The sequence below is a fragment of the Homo sapiens genome, chromosome 13 (assembly GCF_000001405.40).
Source record: "Homo sapiens chromosome 13, GRCh38.p14 Primary Assembly".
Classification (NCBI taxonomy): Eukaryota; Metazoa; Chordata; class Mammalia; order Primates; family Hominidae; genus Homo; species Homo sapiens.
The window spans coordinates 49248381-49270789 of NC_000013.11; the positions used below are offsets into that span (position 1 = coordinate 49248381).

General features: G+C 37.8%; 1 protein-coding gene across 9 annotated transcripts in view; it reads left to right on the top strand.

The window, feature by feature from the left end:
* The window catches only part of CDADC1 (cytidine and dCMP deaminase domain containing 1), a 45561-nt gene that overhangs the window by 456 nt on the left and 22696 nt on the right, over positions 1-22409 (top strand). For 2 of the 9 annotated variants that reach the window (NM_030911.4, NM_001193478.2), the window contains exons 2-5: positions 491-585; positions 7459-7533; positions 10966-11143; positions 19110-19679. In NM_030911.4, the coding sequence (NP_112173.1) occupies positions 491-585; positions 7459-7533; positions 10966-11143; positions 19110-19679 (918 nt within the window). Of the gene's footprint in view, positions 1-16; positions 90-180; positions 307-490; positions 586-7458; positions 7534-10965; positions 11144-12835; positions 12926-17498; positions 17663-18403; positions 18477-19109; positions 19680-22409 lie in introns of those variants that run through there. The other 7 variants (XM_011535251.2, XM_011535250.3, XM_047430689.1 and 4 more) reach the window with 7 other exon arrangements.

The window sequence follows — 22409 nt, forward strand, 5'->3', positions numbered from 1 at the left end:
CTGAACATTTCCAAACGGCGCTTTTGCCTTGATTTCCAAATTAACCGCACGTGACGCTTTCCTGTATTTCGACTGCTTTACCGTCGAAGGTCAGCGCATTTTTCGGGTTGTGTTCTAATCGCTTTCCTTTTAGCAACGCCCCATCACAGTCCAAAGAAAAGCTTGCACCACGACGACGTCAGATGCGAAGACTTTTCACAGCTTGCTTTGGGTTGTCCCCCTCAGCTATGTGTATTAGCTGTACCGTTTTTTCCTGCAGGGTGAGGGCTGGAGAAAGAAGGCTCAACTTTTTAAGTGGAGAAGGAGGTAGCCACGACTAAGGCTGAAGCGTCTACTGCTAAGATACCTCTGACTCTCTTGTCCCCTATCTTTTTCTGTGCCTCTTGCGAAAGCAGCTGGGCTTAGGCTGCAGCACCTAAGTGGCATTGAGATTGGCTCCCTTTTTCACCATTAGTAACAAAGTTTAAAGTGTTTGTCGTCTCTTTTGTAGGTCAGATACCAAGGCTTTCTAAAGTCAACCTTTTCACTCTGCTCAGCCTCTGGATGGAGCTCTTTCCAGCAGAAGCCCAGCGGCAAAAATCTCAGGTATAATTTGTTTCATAGTTTTTCCCCTTAGAAAAGCAGTGGTTTAAAATCTGAGTTTATTGCTCCAGTTTCTGTCATACCTAAAACCAAACTTAACAAGGCTTAAGATTTAAAAAATATCTTTATTGATTAACATGACACTTTATAATTCCCAGCCGTAATAAGTCATCTTCCATTCTAAAAATACTTTCTGAGAATACCATGTTTATCGGGTACTAATGGTATTCATATGTCAGTTCGGCTAATAAGATTATTGTCTATACCACATAATTTCCCCCAATTATATATACTGTTGGTGTTTTATCTAGGTAGTTTACTCCTCTGCCACAGAAATATATAAATTGCCTGGAGATAGAGACCATGTCTTATTTTACCTAGCATATACCCTTTAGAGTCTAGCATTATATGAGTGCTAATTGATTAATGTTGGATGGAAGTAGTCTCTTTTTGGATCTTGAAAGACAGGATCAAAACAGATTAGAAATGGGCTGTGTGCAGTGGCTCACGCCTGTAATCCTAGCACTTTGTGAGGCTGAGGTGGGTGGATCACCTGAGGTCAGGAGTTCAAAACCAGCCTGGGCAACATAGTGAAACCCCATCTCTATTAAACATACAAAAATTAGCCAGGAGTGGTGGTATCCGCCTGTAGTCCCAGTTACGCGGGAGGCTGAGGCATGAGAATCGCTTGAACGAATCGTTGGAGGTTACAGTGAGCTGAGATTGCACCACTGCACTCCAGCCTGGGTGACAGAGCAAGACTCCATCTCAAAAAAAAAATCAGAAATGTATAGTAAGAATAATCATAAAAGCCAATATATTGGAATTGGAAGTATAAACATCCTGCGTCTTTTCTTTCTCCTACCCTTGGGGCAACAAGGGGCTAGGTTCTCATTTTCCTCCATGCTTGGAATGGCATGATGCTAGGTTCTCATCATTTCTGTTTGATAATTTTGGAAGCTTAGGGTGTTGGCATTAATTTTTATAGGGGGCCACGGCCATTGGAAAATAGTATTAGGTTAAGTTGAGCATTTAAGACTTTTTTTAAAACAGAGGTAAAATGAGGGGGGTGGGGCAGAAAATTACACATGGCTTCTCACCACTCTAACAACATTACTGTTAATATTTTGGTGCTTCCAATCTTAAGCATGAGGTTTTTTATTTTTACTCTTACAAAGTTGTAGTTATATTCTGCATGTACTCGCTGAGGTTTCCAACTTGCCCATAATTCTGCTGAAAGGTTGCTTTAGATTTTCCAGAGAAAGACTATAAATCCTTAAATTCCCACAGTACTCTTAGGAGACCACCTACTCTTTTCATTTTACTGTGGATGAGGTTTTGTGCTTGGCACTGGAGACACAAAGCAGAAAAAACATGGTCTTTATTTTCTAATGAGTAGAAACACTAGGCATTTAAACAATTAAAACAGAATTGGTGGAGTGAGTACATAGTATAAGCAGAGATGTTGGCAAGACTGGGAGCCAGGCTCTATATGGGGAAGTGAAGGAAGGATTCACAGAGAAGGTCGTATTTGCACTGAGACATGAAGGATTAGTGGACTTTTGCCCAAGCCAAGGAACTCTACATGGAAAAGCTTGGAGCAATGAGAGAATTTGTGGTCCTCAGGCCAGAAAGTGAAGTTAGGTAGAGGGAAGAGACTGGAAAGGAGCTTGACAATGTAGACAGGAATCATATCATAAAAAGCATTGTATGCCTTGCAAAGGAGTTTAGATTTTATCTTATCAATATAGGAATTGCATTGAGGAATTTTAACAGGATGTGAGGATATTCGCTTCTCATAATAAAATGATATCTCTTGGTGTAGTTTCCTCCCCCAATTCCTATGTGAAGTGTTTTATAGATAGTAAAACATTATTTAAAATATTATACATCGTTATTCCATATTTCTCACCCTCATCCCCCCACTCTGGCTCTACATGTTATTAACGGCTGAGAAAGCTCTTCATTTCCTTCATTAATTTTGAAATTCCTTTATTCCTTCTACTTGTTAATAGTTTAGTATTATTTTATGAAAGTAGATTTCCAAGCTGTTAGGGATTTTATGTAGTGTTGTGTTTTTTTTGTTTTGTTTTGTTTTGTTTTCAGATAAAATTTATTTTGAAGAGCCAGATTAGAAACAAATATTTAGAGGTTTAAGACTTTTAGGCCGGGTGCAGTGGCTCATGCCTGTAATCCCAGCACTTTGGGAGGCCGAGGCAGGCAGATCACAAGGTCAAGAGATCGAGACCATCTTGGCCAACATGGTGAAACCCCGTCTCTGCCAAAAATACAAAAAGTAGCTGGGCGTGGTGGTGCGTGCCTGTAGTCCCAGCTACTTAGGAGGCTGAGGCAGGAGAAACACTTGAACCCAGGAGGCAGAGATTGCATTGAGCTGAGATCACGCCACTGCACTCCAGCCTGGCGACAGAAAAAAAAAGAAAAAAAAAAGAAAAAAAAACGTATAAAAACTGGACATATTAGAGATTGAATACAAATTTTGAAAAGGCGTTCTTTTTTTTGTAAATATCCAGATGTGATCTCGTTTTAGTTCTGTTTTTTTATATACACACCACATCCTGTGCTGAAATTAAGTTTTTTTTTTCAACAGGCACAAGTTGTATTTAATTAGTGAGAAATGACATTTATGTTTCTATTAGGAAGGAATTGATTGGCCAACTAATTGTTGAAGTTTATTTGCAAATAATACACACCCTACTGTTTCCTCATACTATATAGAGAAAGCTGTGGATCTGAGAAAACTGAGATGAAGCTTTCAGTTAGCATTTTGTTAAAAAAAATACTACCAAGGAAATTTCAAAACTATATTAGCAACAAAATTTTATACAACTTTATATCATGTTTAACAAAAGATCAAGGTTATGACTCTCATTTTCTCCCAAGCCAACAACTCTTAAGTTTTCCTGGCATCTCATTCCTTCATCTGGTGGGCACCATGGAAGTTTTCTAAATGAAAATAAATAAGTCTTTTGTTTCAGATATTTTATTTGGGATCTTATTTAGAAATCTGACTCATACGCATGTCTATTTAAGGCTTTTAAATGGAAAGTTATAACACATAGAAATGAGTACAGAAGGCATCAAAACAAAGAACATCCATGTCTTCAGAAAGCCAGGCAACCTGGAACTAGGATTGACTTGGCTATATGAAAGGTTATCACTCTTAGCTCCTGGTCCTGGAGCATGCCCAGCTCCTATTCACTGCATTGGTGTCTTTCCAGCTGTGCTCCCATACCCATGTGTCCTAGGACTACAACCCTCTCACCATGGTCTTGGGTAGGCCTTTACTTCTGTTCTTACCTACAGGGCTTGGGACTCCAAGGCACTTGGGGAGGGAGAGCCTCAGGATTACTCTGGCAGTGATCTGGGTGAAAGAGGCTTTTGCATGTTAACTTGGGAACTTGACTATCATTTTTAACATTGTTTATATGAGAAAAATGTGTTTTAAATTCCGAAAAGGGAGATTTACCAAGTATTTAGAACATGATTGTAGGTTGTCAATTACTTGTATATTTAATGTCAATAAAGCAGAAGTATATAATTTCATTAGTTCTTCTGATATCATGGCCATTGCAAAAAAGCAAGACCAATGATAGTGTGGGGGAAGAATACAGAATGAAAGGGAGCATATTGTACTCCACTTTTATAGTGTTATTTATTGTACAAACATTATCATTGAAACTGAATTTATAGCTGCAACATTTTTAAAAACTATTTTTTTCTCTTGGATTTCCTTTTTGTACTAGTTAATATCCACATAATTTTGCAGGTAGTTGCAGTCATAGCAGGAACACAATTTTGTATTTGACAGTTTTGGTACTGTTACAGGGTTGATAAGTTATTAATTTTAAATTATACAGTAAGAATACATCTAAATTTCATATGCATGTAGTATATGCTGCCATTGTGTTTATACTTGTGGAAATATTAAATTTCTCAAAATGTTGCCCAATTTTGTGCCTAATATTTCTTTACCATTTACTATAGTATATTTTTTCCAGTATTATTTGCACATGGTATTCTTAGAGTTGAGTACAAACTTTTTCCAATTAAGAGAAAAAAAGTCTTCTTTAAGCTAAAGTAATAAGATTGTTTCACTTAAATTCTTTAGTCTGCTTTTGTTGTACAGAGTAAATCACAGAAATACCAAGATGCAATTAGACATGTAATTGTATTGGAAATACTGCTTTTGATACTTTACCAACATTTGTCTTACTAAAAGTATTTTTATGAGTTACCAAAGTAATATATGTTTGTTATTTTTAAAATGGACAGAAGAAAAATTTTATCATAATTCCACCTCCTAGAGACTAATTACTTTTTAAAAATTGTTTCTCAGTCTTTTTTCTCTTACTTTCTTTACTTACATGAGATCATTTAACTCTGGATCCTACCCTTTTCACTTAACATAAGAAAATACTTATGCTGTAATGCTAGTATAAACATTGGAGCAGCACCTTAGTCTAGTAATTTAGAGTAGCCAGTGGTTTTACAGCCAGCCTGCCTGGGTTCAGACTCTGGCTCCGCCTCTTACTAGTTGTATAACTTTGGGTAACTCTACCTCTCTGTGTCAGCTTCCTCATCTGTAAAATGAAATGTTACTAGTATATACTACATGAGGCTTTTATGAGAAATGAATGAGTTAATATTTGTAAAGGTCTTAGTGCCTGGCACATGTTAGGTACTATGTGTTTGTTGTTGTTGTTGTTGTCTCCTTATTTATTTATTTGTTTATGTATTTATTTTAATAGAGATGTGGTCTTGCCATGTTGCCCAGACTGGTCGCTAACTCCTGGGCTCAAGCAGTCCACCCGCCTCAGCCTCCCGAAGTGGTAGGATTACAGGCATGAGCCACCGCACCTAGCCTCCTAACTCTTTCCATTGTGTCTTCTGGTACCTTATGCTAAAGGCCCTCACTGTACTTTTCCAGAACAGAAGCAATGTGGCATAATGGTTAAGACAATGGATCTTGGGCTGGATCTGGCATATCCACTTAATTACCTGTGTGACCATGGTTGAATTATTTAATCTCTCTCAGCCACAATTTCCTCATTTGTACAATGGGAATAATAGGAGCTACTTTATAAAGTTATAAGGATTAAATGAGATAATTTAGGGCCTGGTACATGATAAACATGCAGTAGATGTTAGGTACTGTTATTATCATCACTCATATATATAATTATTACCACTACTAGCACCCACATCCTTACCGTTTTTCCACTGATACCATCACTTCCTCTACTTCCTGTTCTGTCTGAACAGAAACCTCATTCCCAGAACATGGGTTTTCTTATAAACTTCTTTTTGATGGTTCTTTCTTTTCTAGCATCCAGCACTTGTTTCATAAGACTAGCAGGTCAACATTTACAAAGTTTCCCATTCCTACTTTAAAACTTTATCAATGTATTAACTATCCCACCCTTTTTTTTTTTTTTTTGAAACAGAGTCTTGCTGTGTTGCCCAGGCTGGAGTGCAGTGGCGTGATCTCGGCTCACTGCAACCTCCATCTCCCGGGTTCAAGCAATTCTCCTGCCTCAGCCTCCCGAGTAGCTGGGACTACAGGTGCGCACCACCATGCCCAGCTAATTTTTGTATTTTTAGTAGAGACAGGGTTTCACTATGTTGGCCAGGCTGGTCTCGAACTCTTGACCTCGTGATCTGTCCGCCTTAGCCTCCCAAAGTGCTGGGATTACAGGTGTGAGCCACTGCACCTGGCTATCTCACCTATTTTGGAGCTCACAGAATTCTGTGTCACTTTCTTTGTCTTAATCAACTTACTTCATAGTCACTTTCCTGTTTTCATAAATCATAAGCCCTGTGAGAGCTGCATCTTGAGCAACTAGGCTGTCATGTAGCAAGGGTTCAATAAGTATTTGTTGAACTAATAAATGAAGGACTTTGGTCCCTGCCTCAAAACTTTCTTTCTACTTCAAGTTTTCACTTTTTCCCTCATGGATATACCTGTATTCGTTTTCTATTGCTGCTATAACAGATGACCACAAAGTTGGTGGCTTAAAACAACACAAATTTATTATACAGTTCTGTAGGTAAGAGGTCTGAAATGAGCCTTACTGGGCTAAAATCAAAGTGTTGGCAGAGCCAAATTCCCTTCAGACACTCTACGGGAGGACCTTTCCTTGCCTTTTCTACCTGTGGAGATTGTCTGTTTTCCTTGGCTCATGGGCCCCTTCCATCTTCAAAGCCAGCAATGGCCAGTCAGGTCTTTCATGTTGCATCGCTGACTCTCCCACACCCCTCTTTTACTCATAATGACCCTTGTGATAACATCGGGCCAATCAGATAATCAAGGATAATCTCCCTATGTCAAGGTAGGTGGTTAGTGCCTCAGTTCCAGCTGCAAACTGATTCCTCCTTGCCATGTAACAAAACATAGTCACAGGCTCCAGTGACTGGGACAAGGAAATCTCTGGCGGGGCATTATCCTGCCTACCACAATCCCGATCTAATACCTTTGCTACATAGTTCCTTATCTTCTCAATTCCAGTTAATTTACCTCTATTCCACTTTAGTCATTCATGGCCACACTTTGGACTTTTCCATTACTCAAAACTGCCACAATTCTGAAACCATAAACTTCAGAATTTTATTTTCTCATTACAATTTCCAATCCTTCTATGTTTTGGGAAAGTACATAGGGGATAGATTATAAAGGTTTATTTACTAGGTAAAGTAGTATGAACTTGATCCAAACAAAGTGGGAAGTCAATGTAGAGTTTCATCATGGAAAAAAAAATGGTCAAAGCCAAGGAAGCCAGCCTTTAAATATGGGAATATTGAATTAGTCATATGTCTTATGTGCTAATCTTTTTTTTTCCTTAATCTGATTTTTATTAGAAAAATGAAGAGGGAAAGCATGGACCCTTAGGAGATAATGAAGAGAGGACCAGAGTATCTACTGACAAAAGACAGGTAAATTTTTATGATTTCACATATATATGCTCATAATAACAAAGCAAAAGGAATAGTATAAAGTAGAATAAAAGTGCCTCCATTTCTACTATCAAGGGAGTTTTTAAAATACTCTTCTAAAAATGGTCTGTATATTTACAAGACTATATGTCACTCCTTTTTTTTAAAAAAAAAAGTACAGATGGGATTATTCTATGCTACATCCTACATCTTGCTTTAAAAAAAAAAAAACTCTTGATGGTTCATATAGATGTGTTAAGAAATACTCTCCCTTAGTTCTCTCACACTCCCACACACCTTGCTGGGTATGCCAAGAATGCAAGGCCCTAACCATTTTTTACCTGGGTCATTTCTCAGAGTTGTGTTTGCAGTGATCAACCCTGAAGGTTGAGGTAATATCTCCCTCCAGGACAAAAAGCAATCTGGCTTACTTTCTGCTGTGAAACAGTAGGACCCTCAAGCTCAGTGTTCCTCTCCTATAACACTACCCACCCTGTGTCCAGGCAGCCATCTGTGCCCATTTGTATTACCCCTCATGGGGCTTGAGGGCAGGAAACAGAAATGATGCTCATACTGACTGCTGTGCTGCAAATAATAAAGTTCATTGTTTCTAACCCAGAAGTTTCATGTTTTCTGCTAATATCCATGAAACAGTAACAGGTTAACTTATTAGTTGGTAAGTAGGGTAAAATCAAAGTGCAGACTTGAAAGATGAACCTTGTTCTTTTTAATATTGTATAGTATTTCCTTGTTACTTTATTCCTTTGAGTTTTCCAGAGGTTCCGATTCATTGGATGCAGAGTGGAGACTAAGCATGTATGTTTTGAAGAGTTACCTTGATGATTCCGATGTATATTCCTAGAGATTTCCTAATTCATTCTGAGAGTGAGCCCAGTAGGAATATAGAAATAATTTGTCTCAGAATATTTACATGTTTTCATAATAAGAAAGGCCAAGGGAAAAAAAATAGTGAATCACCATTTAAGTCAATGTACTAGTCCATATACAAAACAGACTGTACCCTTTTGCCCATGTTTTAGTGTAAAACTCTGTGACTAGGATCAAACAGATGACTTGCCAAAATGTTAGCGAAGTGAGGCAAAATCAAATTCAGAGCAGCGATTCACTGAAAAGATTCAGTCCTCTGGGAGTTGTGGTAAATGGAAGTGCCAAAATGGAATGCAACTTGAGCTTTTATTTGTTTTATTGAGTTTGGGATGGAAAAATCTTTGTCTCAAACTTGGTATTTTGGCCTTACCTAGATGCAAAATGAAAAAATACATATTTTCTGAGGTAAAAAGGACTCTAGACAAAAAAGTGATAAATAAACTCGACCCAAAAGATTGTTCTAATAACAAATAAGTTGATGAGTGTGCTTCTCACTTGATAGGAACAATTTTTTTTTTTATGTTTTATTCTGGCTTTATTTCTGTCTGTTTAACTAGGAAAATCTAAAGCTGAAATCATTCCCTTGCAGCCACTTCCACTGGTTACGTTGGTTCAATTTAACAATAGGAGCTCTGTCAAGATCTTTTGATGAGGCAGCATTACTTCTTTTCCAAGATGATACGTATTGGCCGGGCACGGTGGCTCACGCCTGTAATCCCAGCACTTTGGGAGGCCGAGGCGGGCGGATCACGAGATCCAGAGATCGAGACCATCCTGGCTAACATGGTGAAACCCCATCTCTACTAAAAATGCAAAAAATTAGCCGGGCGTGGTGGCAGCTACTCAGCTACTCCACGGGCTGAGGCAGGAGAATGGCATGAACCCGGGAGGCGGAGCTTGCAGTGAGCCGAGATAGTGCCACTGCACTCCAGCCTGGGCGACAGAGTGAGACTGTCTCAAATCAATCAATCAATCAATCAATCAGTCCAGCCTGGGCGACAGAGTGAGACTCTGTCTCAAATAAATAAATAAACAAACTTATTGAAAGTATTCAGAAATCAATAATAATATATGCTTCGCATTTGAGGAGCATAAAACTCAAGAAATTTTGGTAGGGAGGGGAAAGTGTTCACAAATTCAAGGTCAATTTAAAGCTTATTTTAAAAGCCAATATAGATAGGTTTTTCATATTTTATATACATCCTTAGGTACATATTTTGTAAAGCAGAGATTTTTGTATTCCTTTATAAATGTCCTTCTAGTTTAGGAGATGGTTGGTTAACTCAGAAATGGAATTCCATAAAATCTTCTCTGTTCCTTCTTTTTTAGATAGTTTACAAATTATTCTCCGTAATCTCAAACATTCATACTCAAAACCGAAACTGAAACTTGACTAGTTAATATCGCTTTGGTCTGATCCTTAAAGTGATTTCAGATATGCTGTATTGGGGGATAAGTATAGGGTTAAATCCCTTTGGAAGGGGATGGGGAATAGGGACACCCTCTCCTTAGCCCAAGCTCCCCTCATGTAACAGTCAGTCCCAAGCCCAAGGATCAGGTTTACATTCCTTACTTCAGAGGCTTTTGCTGTGAAAACAGCATAGACTGTTTTGTGCCTTATGCAGAACTGACTTTTTTTTTTAACCTTAGTCTGTTTTATCTGATATTGTTATACCAGCTTTGATTAGTATTTGTTTAAGTTGAGAAACTTTAGGTTCAATAGTAACACAAAACCTTCACTCAAAGAGATCCACTGGAAGTGCTTAGAACCCCAGTCAGTAACCAGTCTGCAGGGCTTAATTCAGGCTCAGCCAGTCCCTGCTCTGTGGAATATTGCTAAGGTAGCTCAAGCTCACTACTCTGACATCAAGTTCTCTCATCCTTTTTGACACTTGATGGTATGTCTTCCTTCTTTTTGTTTTTATAACTTACCTATAGTAGGAGGTGGGACCTAACTATAGTAGTCTAGACTGCCATAGTGCTAAAAATTGATACAGCCAGTAGTTTCTCAAAAGAAATTGAGAATTATCTTTTCTTTGGTCAATATCTAAAATATTTTAGAATTTAAGATGACCTCTGCTTTAGTTCTGCCTTTTACCATCTGTGGGTCTTTCAGAAAGTCATGTAAACTTTCTGGGCTTTACTTATCCATGTGTAAAATCAGGGCTTTATATTCTTTATTACCATCTAGAAGCTTAATACTAAATGGTACTACACTTAATCCTATAAGAAACAAGTCAAATTGATCTAGTTCTTGCCCTTTACTAGGTTATAATGTATCTAATCTTTCACTAGAACAAATTAATGATAATTACATGCTTAATTGTTTGATTAGTAGAGCCTAGGTTTAGAAAATTTCTGGCCTAAAGTCAACACTAAAGTTTCAGAAGCTTTTTGGATCTAATGAGAAATGTGCTTTGTACAAACTCTGTTTAGATAAAGAATTAAACAAAACTTCCATTTTTATTAATAATTCAAGTATAATCCATAATATGATTATTAGGTGTTATAACTAATAAGTTGTTATTTTATATCTTAATGTAGGTAAAGAGAACTGGTCTTGTGGTGGTGAAAAACATGAAAATTGTTGGTCTCCACTGTTCTAGTGAAGATTTACATGCCGGGCAGATTGCTCTTATTAAACATGGGTCAAGGCTGAAAAACTGTGATCTTTATTTTTCCAGAAAACCATGTTCTGCTTGTTTGAAAATGATTGTAAATGGTAAGTGCAGAAAAGGGTTTGTTGGGGATTAAGAGTATTTATCTGGGATGGGCGTGGTGGTTTATGCCTGTCATCCCAGCACTTTGGGAGGACAAGGCAGGAGGATCGCCTGAGCCCAGGAGTTCACAAATAGCCTGTGCAACATAGGGAGACCTCATCACTACAAAAAATAAGTTAGCTAGGCATGGTGATGCACGCCTGTAGTCCCCACTACTTGAGATAATGAGGTGGGAGGATTGCTTGAGCCCAGGATGTCAAGGATACAATGACCCGTGATTGCGCCACTGCACTCTAAGCTGGGTGACAGAACAAGACCTTGTCTCCAGAAAAAAAAAAACGAAGAAAGGAGCGTTTCTCTGAGAGCAGTCAGTGGGAACACATTTGCTAAATACCACAGAGATAATTTAGAAATATATATCTGAAAGTCAGGTGCTATGGCTTGCACCTGTAATCCCAGCTACTCAGAAGGCTGAGGCAGGAGAATTGCTCAAGCCCGGGAGTTCAAGGCTGTAGTGAGCTATGATTGCTCCACTGCACTCCAGCCTGAGTGACAGAGCAAGACCCTGTCTCTAAAAAATAAAATAAAAAATATGTAAATATATATCTGAAGACAGTTTGATACATTATAAGAGTAAGCATCAGAAAACATGGATTCTGGTCTCATTCATGTCTACTAACCTATTAAATGACCCTCAGTGTATGAGTAGACTAATGCTAACTGCTATAACAAAACAAAATTTCAGTGACTTATGTACTAGATATTTATCACCTGTATAATAGTCCAGCACATGTGTTGCTAAACAGCAGGCAGCTTTCTCCATTTGGTTGATTCCTGGGCTAGGCATCTTCTGTCTCATTGCTGTTGTCACCTCTAGGGCTTTGAGTCCTCTGTATCCAGAGGCAGACTGAGAAAGAATGAGTAGAGAGGGTGAACCTGCTTCTTAAAAACCCTGACCTGGAAGTCACATACATCATTTCTGTTCTCATCCATTGTGGGAACTGTTGTTCCCACTGGGCAGCTGTCTTTCAGTGACTACTATACACTTTGGAAGGAGGAACACAAATTTTTAATGTATAGCCATCCGTCCACACCAGGCTATTCACTAAACCTCCTTGTGCTTATGATTCTGTTTTGCACCCAGGTATATGCCGATCATTCTTTCATTTAAAAAATATGCATCTTGTTGCATAGGCATCATGGTAGATCAAAAAACAAAAAAAACTAATGTGGTTCCTAATCTTTACTCTCGAGGTGTTATTTGGGGGCCAAAATAACAATTTAATATGATGCATTATCTAGTACCAAATCAGCGATACAGGTTGTAAGTGATATTTGGTCTCAGAGGAGAAATAGTGATCCCTGCAGATTTCCATATTATGAAAGGCTGGGGCTTAAGCTTGATCTTGATGCGTCATAGGTAGAGGAAGAGGAACACATTCCTGGTCAGGGGGAACAGTGTATATGGAGTCATCAAGTTGTAAGAAGCAAAGTTCTAGGGGTCAGTATTTGAAATGGAGAATTATTCTTGGAGAACAGTGGCAGATGAATTATAGTGATAGTGGAGAACTTTGAAGAACTGTAGAGCCTTTGGACTTTATCTTATAAAACAGAGTTCCTAGGCCTGTTGTGAGAAAGAGCTATTTTTATTTACAGCAAAGCCTTAAGAGTAATGATCAGATCTATGTCAAGGTCAGTGCCTTGAGCTATAAATGGCAGAACTTCTAGAAGAAATGGATCATGTGGCTAGAAACCTCTCGGCCTGCAACAAGTATTTCGAGCAGGTAGGTATCTGTGGTAGTGATTGGATTCTATATTCTCAACTGCAGTTACCAATACATTGAGAAGATAGGTATGAAAGTGGTGGTGGCATTTTTTTCACCTTTTCCCAATTAACCAGGCAGATTGGACATGCATTTCATCACTCATGTTCAACTGACCTACAGTTCCTGTTTGTAGGTAATGTGGAGACATTGAAGATTCTTGAGAAAGATGTAACGTGATTGAAATTTTTGTTGTTATTGCTGTTATTGAATTGGAGCAGGGAGAGATTAGAGATTGGGAGCTTGATTAGTAGACTATTGCATTAGGCAAGGTCCAAATAGGGTTCAGATGATGACATTGATACAGAAATGAAAGAATGTGAAAGAACCAAAACATTTGTTGGCTGATCTGTTCCAGATCAAGGGAGAAAAATGAATAAAAGATAGTTGTGCTTTGTGCTGAGCTAACTGTGCTGAAAGCAGTCTTAATAGCCTCGGAGCCACAAATTAGAGGGAAGAATAGGAGAGTGCAGGTAACTCATCACTGCTTGATGTCTTAAGACATTTCATCCTGACAAAAAAGATAATGAAGTATGGAAAGTCAGGAAGGACCTACAGTGGAAATGCTTGTGTATTGGTGTTGGACAATATATAAACAAAATTGCTATGTTAGATTAGGCTTATGTATTATATTTAGTTATCTTAGGAAGGGGGCATGGTTGAACCCCATGCTATAGCTAGATTACTTTAGTTAGAATTGCTATTACCTCAGTTATAAGGCAAAGATTGTTGTAGCACAGTGGTTCTCCAAGTGTGGTCTGTGGACTCCTGATGGTCCACGAGGTCAATGTTATTTTCATAATAATACTACCTTCAGGTTGGGCATGGTGGCTCATGCCTCTAGTCCCAACATTTTGTGAGGCTGAGGCAAGTGGATTGCTTGAGCCCAGGAGTTTGAGACCAGTCAGGGCAATATGGAGAAACCCCATATCTACTAAAAATAGAAAAATTAGCTAGGCGTGGTGGTGCATGCCTGTAGTCCCAGCTACTCGGGAGGCTGAGGTGGGAGGACCACTGGAGCCTAGGATGCAAAGGTTGCGGTGAGCTGTGATCGTGCCTCACCAATGCACTCCAGCCTGGGCCACAGAGTGAGACCCTGTCCCAAAAAGCAAAAACAAAAACACTACATTCATACTAATGGTACCAAAACAATGATAGGTAAAACTACTGTTTCCGTATCTTTATTTTTATTTTATTTTTTTTTGAGACAGAGTCTCGCTCTGTCACCCAGGCTGGAGTGCAGTGGCACAATTTCAGCTCATTGCAACCCCCGCCTCCCAGGTTCAAGCGATTCCCCTGCCTCAGCCTCCTGAGTAGCTGGGATTACAAGCGTGCACCAGCATGCCCGGCTAATTTTTGTATTTTTAGTAGAGACAAGGCTTCACCATGTTGGTCAGGCTGATCTCGAACTTCTGACTCATGATCTGCCCACCTCAGCCTCCGAAAGTGCTGGGATTACAGGCGTGAACCACTGCACCCAGCCTGTTTCCATATCATTAAGACAGTGGTGCCAAACTGCCCTGGTAGTCGTCATACTCTTCACTGCACTCAGAGGGAAAAAAGAAAACCAGTTTTACATAAGAAGGTCCTTGATGAAACAGTAAAAAGTATCAATTTTATTAAATCCCAACTTGAGTCTGCATCTTTTTAATATTCTGTGTGAGGAAACAGGAGGTGGGTATAAAGTGCTTTTGCTACAGACCTAAGGTATGAAGATGGCTTTAAGGAAAACCATGTATGTGATTGTTTGAGTTGCAGACTGACTTATCTACTTTTTTAATGGAACATCATGAACTGACAATGGTTAGTTAGACTTGGATATTTGGCAGATATTTTCTTGAAAATATAGTGAACCTGTCACTTTCAGATAAACAACTGACAGTATTTGTTGCCAGTGATAAAATTTGAGCTATCAAGTGAAAATTAGAATTTTGGAAAACTCATATTCTCTATTATGAGCCTGACAGCATCTCACCACTTAGACTCTTTTGATGGGATTGGTGGTGATATTAATGAACGGGATTTTTTTTAATATTGTAAAATCAGTAAATCATTGTTTTCCGGATGACCAATGCACAATGCTACAAAATCATGCATGAGTAAAAGCCATTCTAAGTGCAAGACAGACCAACGGACTTTAACGTAACAGTTCAAAAAGTTTGTTGATATGGTTTCAGATTCTACATTGTAACTAACCTTTAAGAAACTATCCCTTGTCAAATTTTTATGTAGTGCCAAAGAAGAATATTCACAAGTATCTGAAATGGCTGTTAAAATACTCCTTTTTCAACCACATATCTATATGAGGCCAGATAATTTTCGTATACTTCAATGAAAACAACATATTGCAACAGATTGAAAACAGAAGCAAATTTGAGCATCCAGTTGTCTTCTATTAAGCCAAATTTTTTTTTTTACAAAGCAAGTTACTTTATTAGAATTTTAAACAATGTATAAGTGATGGAATCATTCTAACAACACATCTATTCACTGCTTACAATTCCAACCAATTTCAGTTCTCTGATATCTAATGACAAGAGCGAAGACCTGTTAAAGTTCCTTCCACCAGTAAAACCCACAGCTCAAAGTTGTGGGAGTGATTAACTGAGCCATAGGCCTTCATTCACATGTTTACCACATTAAAATACCACACAGTGTTTTCTTATAAGGTCAACCACCTGGGAACTAATTAACATTAGCATTAAGATTTAAATAAACTGTTAGGCACAGGGCTAGATCAGGCATTATAAAACCCTGTGGTTCCCTAGTCAAGTCACACAAATCCCCAAATATTTTAGCTTGTAACAGTTTTGTCCTTCCTCTCTTGAGACAATTATTTGGGTACTTGCTTTTGGCAATAACGTAATTCACAATGGAAGTTTCCTAACTGTGATGGTGCTTTAGGCAACTTCGGAGAATGAAGATAGAAATTATGCATGATTATATAACATGAAGAGTTTAATTTCTATTACACACTCAATTTCCATGCCCTGATTTCTCTTAACTCTATAAACACATGTAAATCTTCTGCAGAGCTTTAAAGAGCTCTGAAAGGGAAAACACCTTTCCATATATGGAATTGATAGCATAGTACAGGTCAGGCGCAGTGGCCCACACCTGCAATCCCAACATTGTGAGGCCAGTGGGAGGACCACCTCAGGTCAGGAGCCCAAGACCAGCCTGGGCAACATAGCGAGACCCCATCTCTACCAAAAAAAAAAAAAAAAAAAGAGCTGGGTGTGGTGGTGCACACCTGCAATCACAGCCAATCTGGAGGCTGAGGCAGGAGGATTGGTAGAGTATGGGAGTTAGAAGTTACAGTGAGCTATGATGTCACCACTGCACTCCAGCTTGGGTGACAGACTGGTCTCTATTTAAAAAAAAAAAAAAAGGTATAGTGATACACTATTAATTCCATGTATGCTAATATGAGATAGCATCCATATAAACTACTATCAAGTCTTTATGTGCCAGCTACTGTAATAAGTCTTTTCAAGTTTAACTCACTGAATTCATAATGAATTATGAGGTAGCTACCATTATTTCCCCCATTTTACAAATAGGGAAACTGAGGCTGGGAGACATTATTTAACTTGCCCAAGTTTCTAAAGCCAGTTACTGGCAGAACTGGTATTTGAACCTACTTAATCTGATTCTAGAGCCTGTGCTATATAAACTCTTACCCACTATGCTATGCTATTCATTAGTATCCATTTAACAATTACTACTATTGCAATAGCTGCAATTATCACTCCTATAGTACAGGGGAATCTATCAAAGAAACACTCAGCTTTCACTTATCTATTTCTGAAAACATTTTTTATTAAAGTATAAGGTGCATTTCACTGATCTATTTTTATAATTGTCAATTTATTTAAGTACTTTGATTATATGATGTAAGAAAAATGTTAGAAATGTCTTCTGGAATTAACCAGAACACAATAAATGTGCAAAAATTAGAATGGAATTTACAGAGTTTATAGGCCACTGAAGCCCATCCATGAAACCCTTCATGAAACTCATTCATGAGGCCAAAGGGCAGAACAAACCCTCCCTGAAAATCTCAATTGGGCTTTTAGAATTTAAATTTAAATGTCTATACGAATTCTGCTGCTCAGTTTTGTCCTTCCACTCTTCTTAATTTTCCAGTGATATTGCTGATAACTATTGTTTTTCCTTTTACTATTAATCCAAATATTAAAGATATTTGTAAAAATTTAAAACAATCTCATTCTTACAAATTTTTGTTTTGGAAAATAGTTTTTTTCATAAAGCTAATGTTATTTATATTAATGTATAACAGATTATTGTTATTTTTAATGAATTAATAAATATTTTAAATTTTGTTTTAATTTTCAAGTACAGTAAATATCAGTAGATATATTCCACATAAATAAAAGCTTTTTGGAGTCCTCAATAATTTTTAAGAGTGTTAAGGAATCCTGAGATCAAAAAATTTGAGAAACTCTGCTTTAGCATTTGCCACTAATACACAAATGTCTGTCTAAAGAGGATTTTTCCCCTCTTGAATCAGGATTACTGGAAGCAGCTAAGATGCCTAGATGAAAGGTTTACCATCACTGCTGGTTAGGAAATGGATTATGAGAACTCGAACAGAGGGAAGGTGAAATGCAACCGGAGGAAACACTCTGATATGAGGTTTGAGGCCTTCAAAATTGCTTTGCAGCATAAGCCACAGTGAGTCAGGAGTACCAGGGAGTGGATAGAATGTTTATTTGTTTAACTGAGACTTTTTAGTTCATCAATTATTTTGAAGGGTAGAACACTCTGTGGGCTCTCTTTCTATTTGCTTCTGGGTACAATCACAAAAAAAAAATCTCTCCTAGCTGAAATTACATGCAGTACTAGCAAAGGGGTCTCTTTGTTATAAACTGTTCATTAATTGACGAACATTTGTGTACTTAACTATGTATAAGGCATCTCATCGTTCAATTTCAAATACAAATTAAAATATTTTTTCACATTTGTTATCCTGTTATGTTTTCTCTTTTACAAATTGTCTGTTCGTATCTTTTTGTCTCTCTTTAGGCCTTATTCTTGTCAATTCATATGTGCTCTAATGAATTGAAATATTTTCTGTATATTAAACATTACTAACCTTTCCTCTGTCACACTGATTGAAAAATGATCTATTTAGTTTGTTGTTTTGTCTTTAATTTTGTAAGCTTTAAAAAGTTAATATTGCCCTTCAGACACCATCCCAACATCACATAAGAATTTTTTCATGTTATAAATTCTTTGTGGACATATTTGATAACTGTTTTATTATGAGGAGGACCATAATTAATTCAACCATTCCCCTATTTTGGTCATTTAGGTTTTTGGGTTTGGGTTTTTTGTTTGTTTAACGTCTTTGCTTGCTATTTTAAAGAATGCTGCACTAAATGTGCATGCATGAGATTTCTTCTCTGTATTTAGAATATTTTCCTAGAATGGATTCTCAGAAGAATTCTCAGTCTGTGGAGAGGAACATTTTTAATGCATGGAAGAGGTATTTATTCCAGATAGAAAACTAGGCAATATTAGTTGTTCCCTGTAAGATTTTAAAAAACAGCCATGGCACCATGGAGGACTCTTCGAGTATATAGTTTTAGCGCTGGGCTTTGGGATCACACTTCACAACACCAGTAACTCCACAAATGCATTCCTAGAGGCTCTGTGAGAGGCTGGGTAACTTTTTCTTGAAAAGGCCAGATAATAAATATTTTAGACTTTGCAGGCCGTGTGGTGTCTGTCACAGCTACTCAACTCTGCCACACGAAAGCACCCAAAGACTATATAAGTGAATGGGTGTGTCTGTGTTTCAATAAAGGTTTATTTATGGATACTGAAATTTGAATTTCTGACAGTTCGATGTGTCACAAAATGTTCTTTTGATTTGTCCAACTATTTTAAAATGTAAAACCCATTCTTAACCTGTGAGCTGTACAAAGACTGGCAGTGGACTGGATTTGGCCTGTGGGTGGTAGTTTGCCAACCCTCAGGCTATATAATAGGTGACTTGGTAATAGACATTTATTATATTGAGGGTTCTAGATATACTGCAATGATAGGGTGGATTTTATAATGAAAACCCTAAATTCAGCATGTATCTCATAATTACCTTTCGTATTTTGTATTTCAGCTGGAGTTAACCGAATTTCATACTGGCCTGCTGATCCAGAAATAAGTTTGCTTACGGAGGCTTCTAGTTCTGAAGATGCAAAGTTAGATGCCAAAGCAGTGGAAAGATTGAAGTCAAACAGTCGGGCCCATGTGTGTGTCTTACTTCAACCTTTGGTGTGTTATATGGTGCAGTTTGTAGAGGAGACCTCTTACAAATGTGACTTTATTCAAAAAATTACAAAAACATTGCCGGATGCTAACACTGACTTTTATTATGAATGTAAACAAGAAAGAATAAAAGAATATGAAATGTTATTTTTGGTTTCAAATGAAGAAATGCATAAGCAAATACTGATGACTATAGGTTTGGAGAACCTGTGTGAAAATCCATACTTTAGCAATCTAAGGCAAAACATGAAAGACCTTATCCTACTTTTGGCCACAGTAGCTTCCAGTGTGCCGAACTTTAAACACTTCGGATTTTACCGTAGCAATCCAGAACAGATTAATGAAATTCACAATCAAAGTTTGCCACAGGAAATTGCAAGGCACTGCATGGTTCAGGCCAGGTTATTGGCATATCGAACTGGTGAGTTACATAGATCGTAAATTGGGGCTGATTGGTTGGGTTGTATTTGTCTCTGAAGTGTTCGTCTCATTTATGGTAGAGTTCATTTACTCATAGTTACTTAAGTTTTGCTGTTCATACAATATAGAGAAGTTAGTGAGACCCTTGAGTAGACAACTCTTTCTCCCAGCAGTTTTGGGATTCCTTGTAGCCTTATATTCAGTACCACATTTCTACATCAGGCCCTCATTAATCTAGGCCCTTCTTTCTGCTTCTTGCTTTTATGATTTCACTGTTCCTTGAGCCCTCCACTAAAGGTAGGACAAGAAGAGAAAGGAGAGGCCCAGTGCAGTGGTTCATGCCTGTAATTGCAACACTTTAGAAGGCTGAGACAGGAGGATCGCTTGAGCTCAGGAGTTCAAGACCAGCGTGGGCAACATAGCAAGACCTCGACTCTAACAAAAAAATTAGCTGGGCATGGTGGTGTCTGGTGGTGCGTGCCTATAGTCCCGGCTACTTGGGAGGCTAAAGCAGGAAGATTGCTTGAGCCCAGTAGTTTGGGGCTGCAGTGAGCTACAATAGCACCACTGTACTCCAGCTCCAGAGACACAGCAAGACTCTATCTCCAAAAAAAGAAAAAGGAGAAAACCAAAATTATTCATTTTTGTTAACTCTTCAATATTTTGATGTACTGAATATTTAACAATTTTTAAAAAATCTTTACAATAACATTAATTCAAAATAACTAATAGAATCAAGGTAAAGGAATGGTGATTATTGCAGATTCTTCCAGTTGCTGGTATGTCTTCAATCAGCAAGTTGAGAAACATTTTTACTGTATTGTATTAAGTTGTATATTTGGAAAAGGAAAATATTACTTGGGATTTTTCTTTGTTATGATAAAAGATGGCATCTGTATTTCCAAACATGGAACAATATTATCACATCTTACCTGATGTAAGATTTCTCAAAGTAGAATCATGATCACTTTTTAAAATGCATCTTTGTGATAAAGGGGAAAAAACATAGACAGGAGGAGCAGTAGAGTAAGATTTGTTTGGGGAGTGTACTGTAGTAGGATTTAAAAATTATCCCAAGAAAGAAGAGAAAGTCATCAGAAAAGGTCTCTACAGATGCTGCTGGTCTGCAGTAGTCAACAGAAGGGAGGTTCTCAGCTGGCAGCAAATAGAATCGCCATTGAAACTTTTATAAAAAGTACAGATGCTATACTTTTTACTTTTATAAAAAGTACAGATGCTATACTTTTTACTTTTATAAAAAGTACAGATGCTATACTTTTTACTTTTATAAAAAGTACAAACCCCAACCCAGACCTATTAAACCAAGTCCCTAACAAAATATGGCCAAGTTCTATGTTTTTAAAAGTTCCACAAGGTGTTCTGATGTTCGCAGAGTTAATAATTGCTCAATTCTTCTTAAAGATTTTGATTCTGTAGGCACACATTATATGACCCCAAACAATTGCATTGTGTAAAAGTCTGGTTTCATGTAATTATATTCTATTGTGGGTTATATATTTGTTTCTTTGCCAACTCCAGCTTTGTAAAGAATTTTTCTGTAAACCATTCAAAAAGATAGAAAACATAAATGGGAACAGCTGTTGTAGCTATAATTCACTAATTACCCTTCACTAATTAGAATTCAGCAGAACCCTGCCTGTGTTCCAGAGTAAGAGGGCGATGTGAATCTGCTATTTTACTGGATCTTAGTACCTCTTGCTTCTCATAGAACACCTTATCATACCAGCTGTGATTCCAGTGTTTAAAGACGCAGTATGTATACATTTGCATTTATATTGTTTATTAGATACTCTACACTACTGTATAGTTATAAGTATATCCACTATTGTGCAGAATTTTGTACATAAAGCCCTGCTTACGCATTTGATGGTCAATTTAAAAGATTTTTCAAGGTTAATTGTTGGTGATTTTTTTTTTACATGGAACTCAAATCCTGAATAGGGTGCAACTCCTCTGTCACTCACTCTACTCCACTGTGCACTCTTCCAGGGAAGAAACCATGTCTTAATCATTTTTTCCTTAGCACTAAACACAATGTGCGTTGAATGGATAAAACAAATCTTTTTATCCAAAGATAAAGGGTCCACAATCCCTTATGCAAAACTTTTGGAGCCAAATGTAAAGGAATTCAGAATTTTTCCGATTTTATTTTATTTTTTTTGAGACAGGGTTTTACTCTGTTGCCCAGGCTGAGTGCAGTGGCACTCATGGCTCACTGCAGCCCTCAACCTCTCAGCCTCAAGCAATCCTCCCACATCGACCTCCTGAGTAGCTTGTACTACAGGTGAACCACCACCATGTCCAGCCAATTTTTAATTTTTTGTAGATATGTCTCACTGTGTTGCCCAAGCTGGTCTCGAACTCCTTGGCTTAAGCAATCTTCCTGCCTCAGCCTCCCAAAGTGCTGGGATTACAGGCATGAGCCATCATGCCCAATCCAGATTTTAAAAAGGTAATATGGTACATATACTGTTATATAGGACTCCCAGTGGCATCTGGGACAGTACCCTGTAATCACATTAATACATACAGAGTGAAAAAAGTAGGAATATTTGCACTAAGAATAATTGAGGGCTATAAATAACTCAATTTGGGTCAGATTTGGCCGCAAAATAAGTGCATCAAACTTCAAAAAAACTGGATGTAAAAGATTTCAGATCAGGGACTCTGGACCTGTAATTCTTCCTTAATGATAAATAATAACAATGAC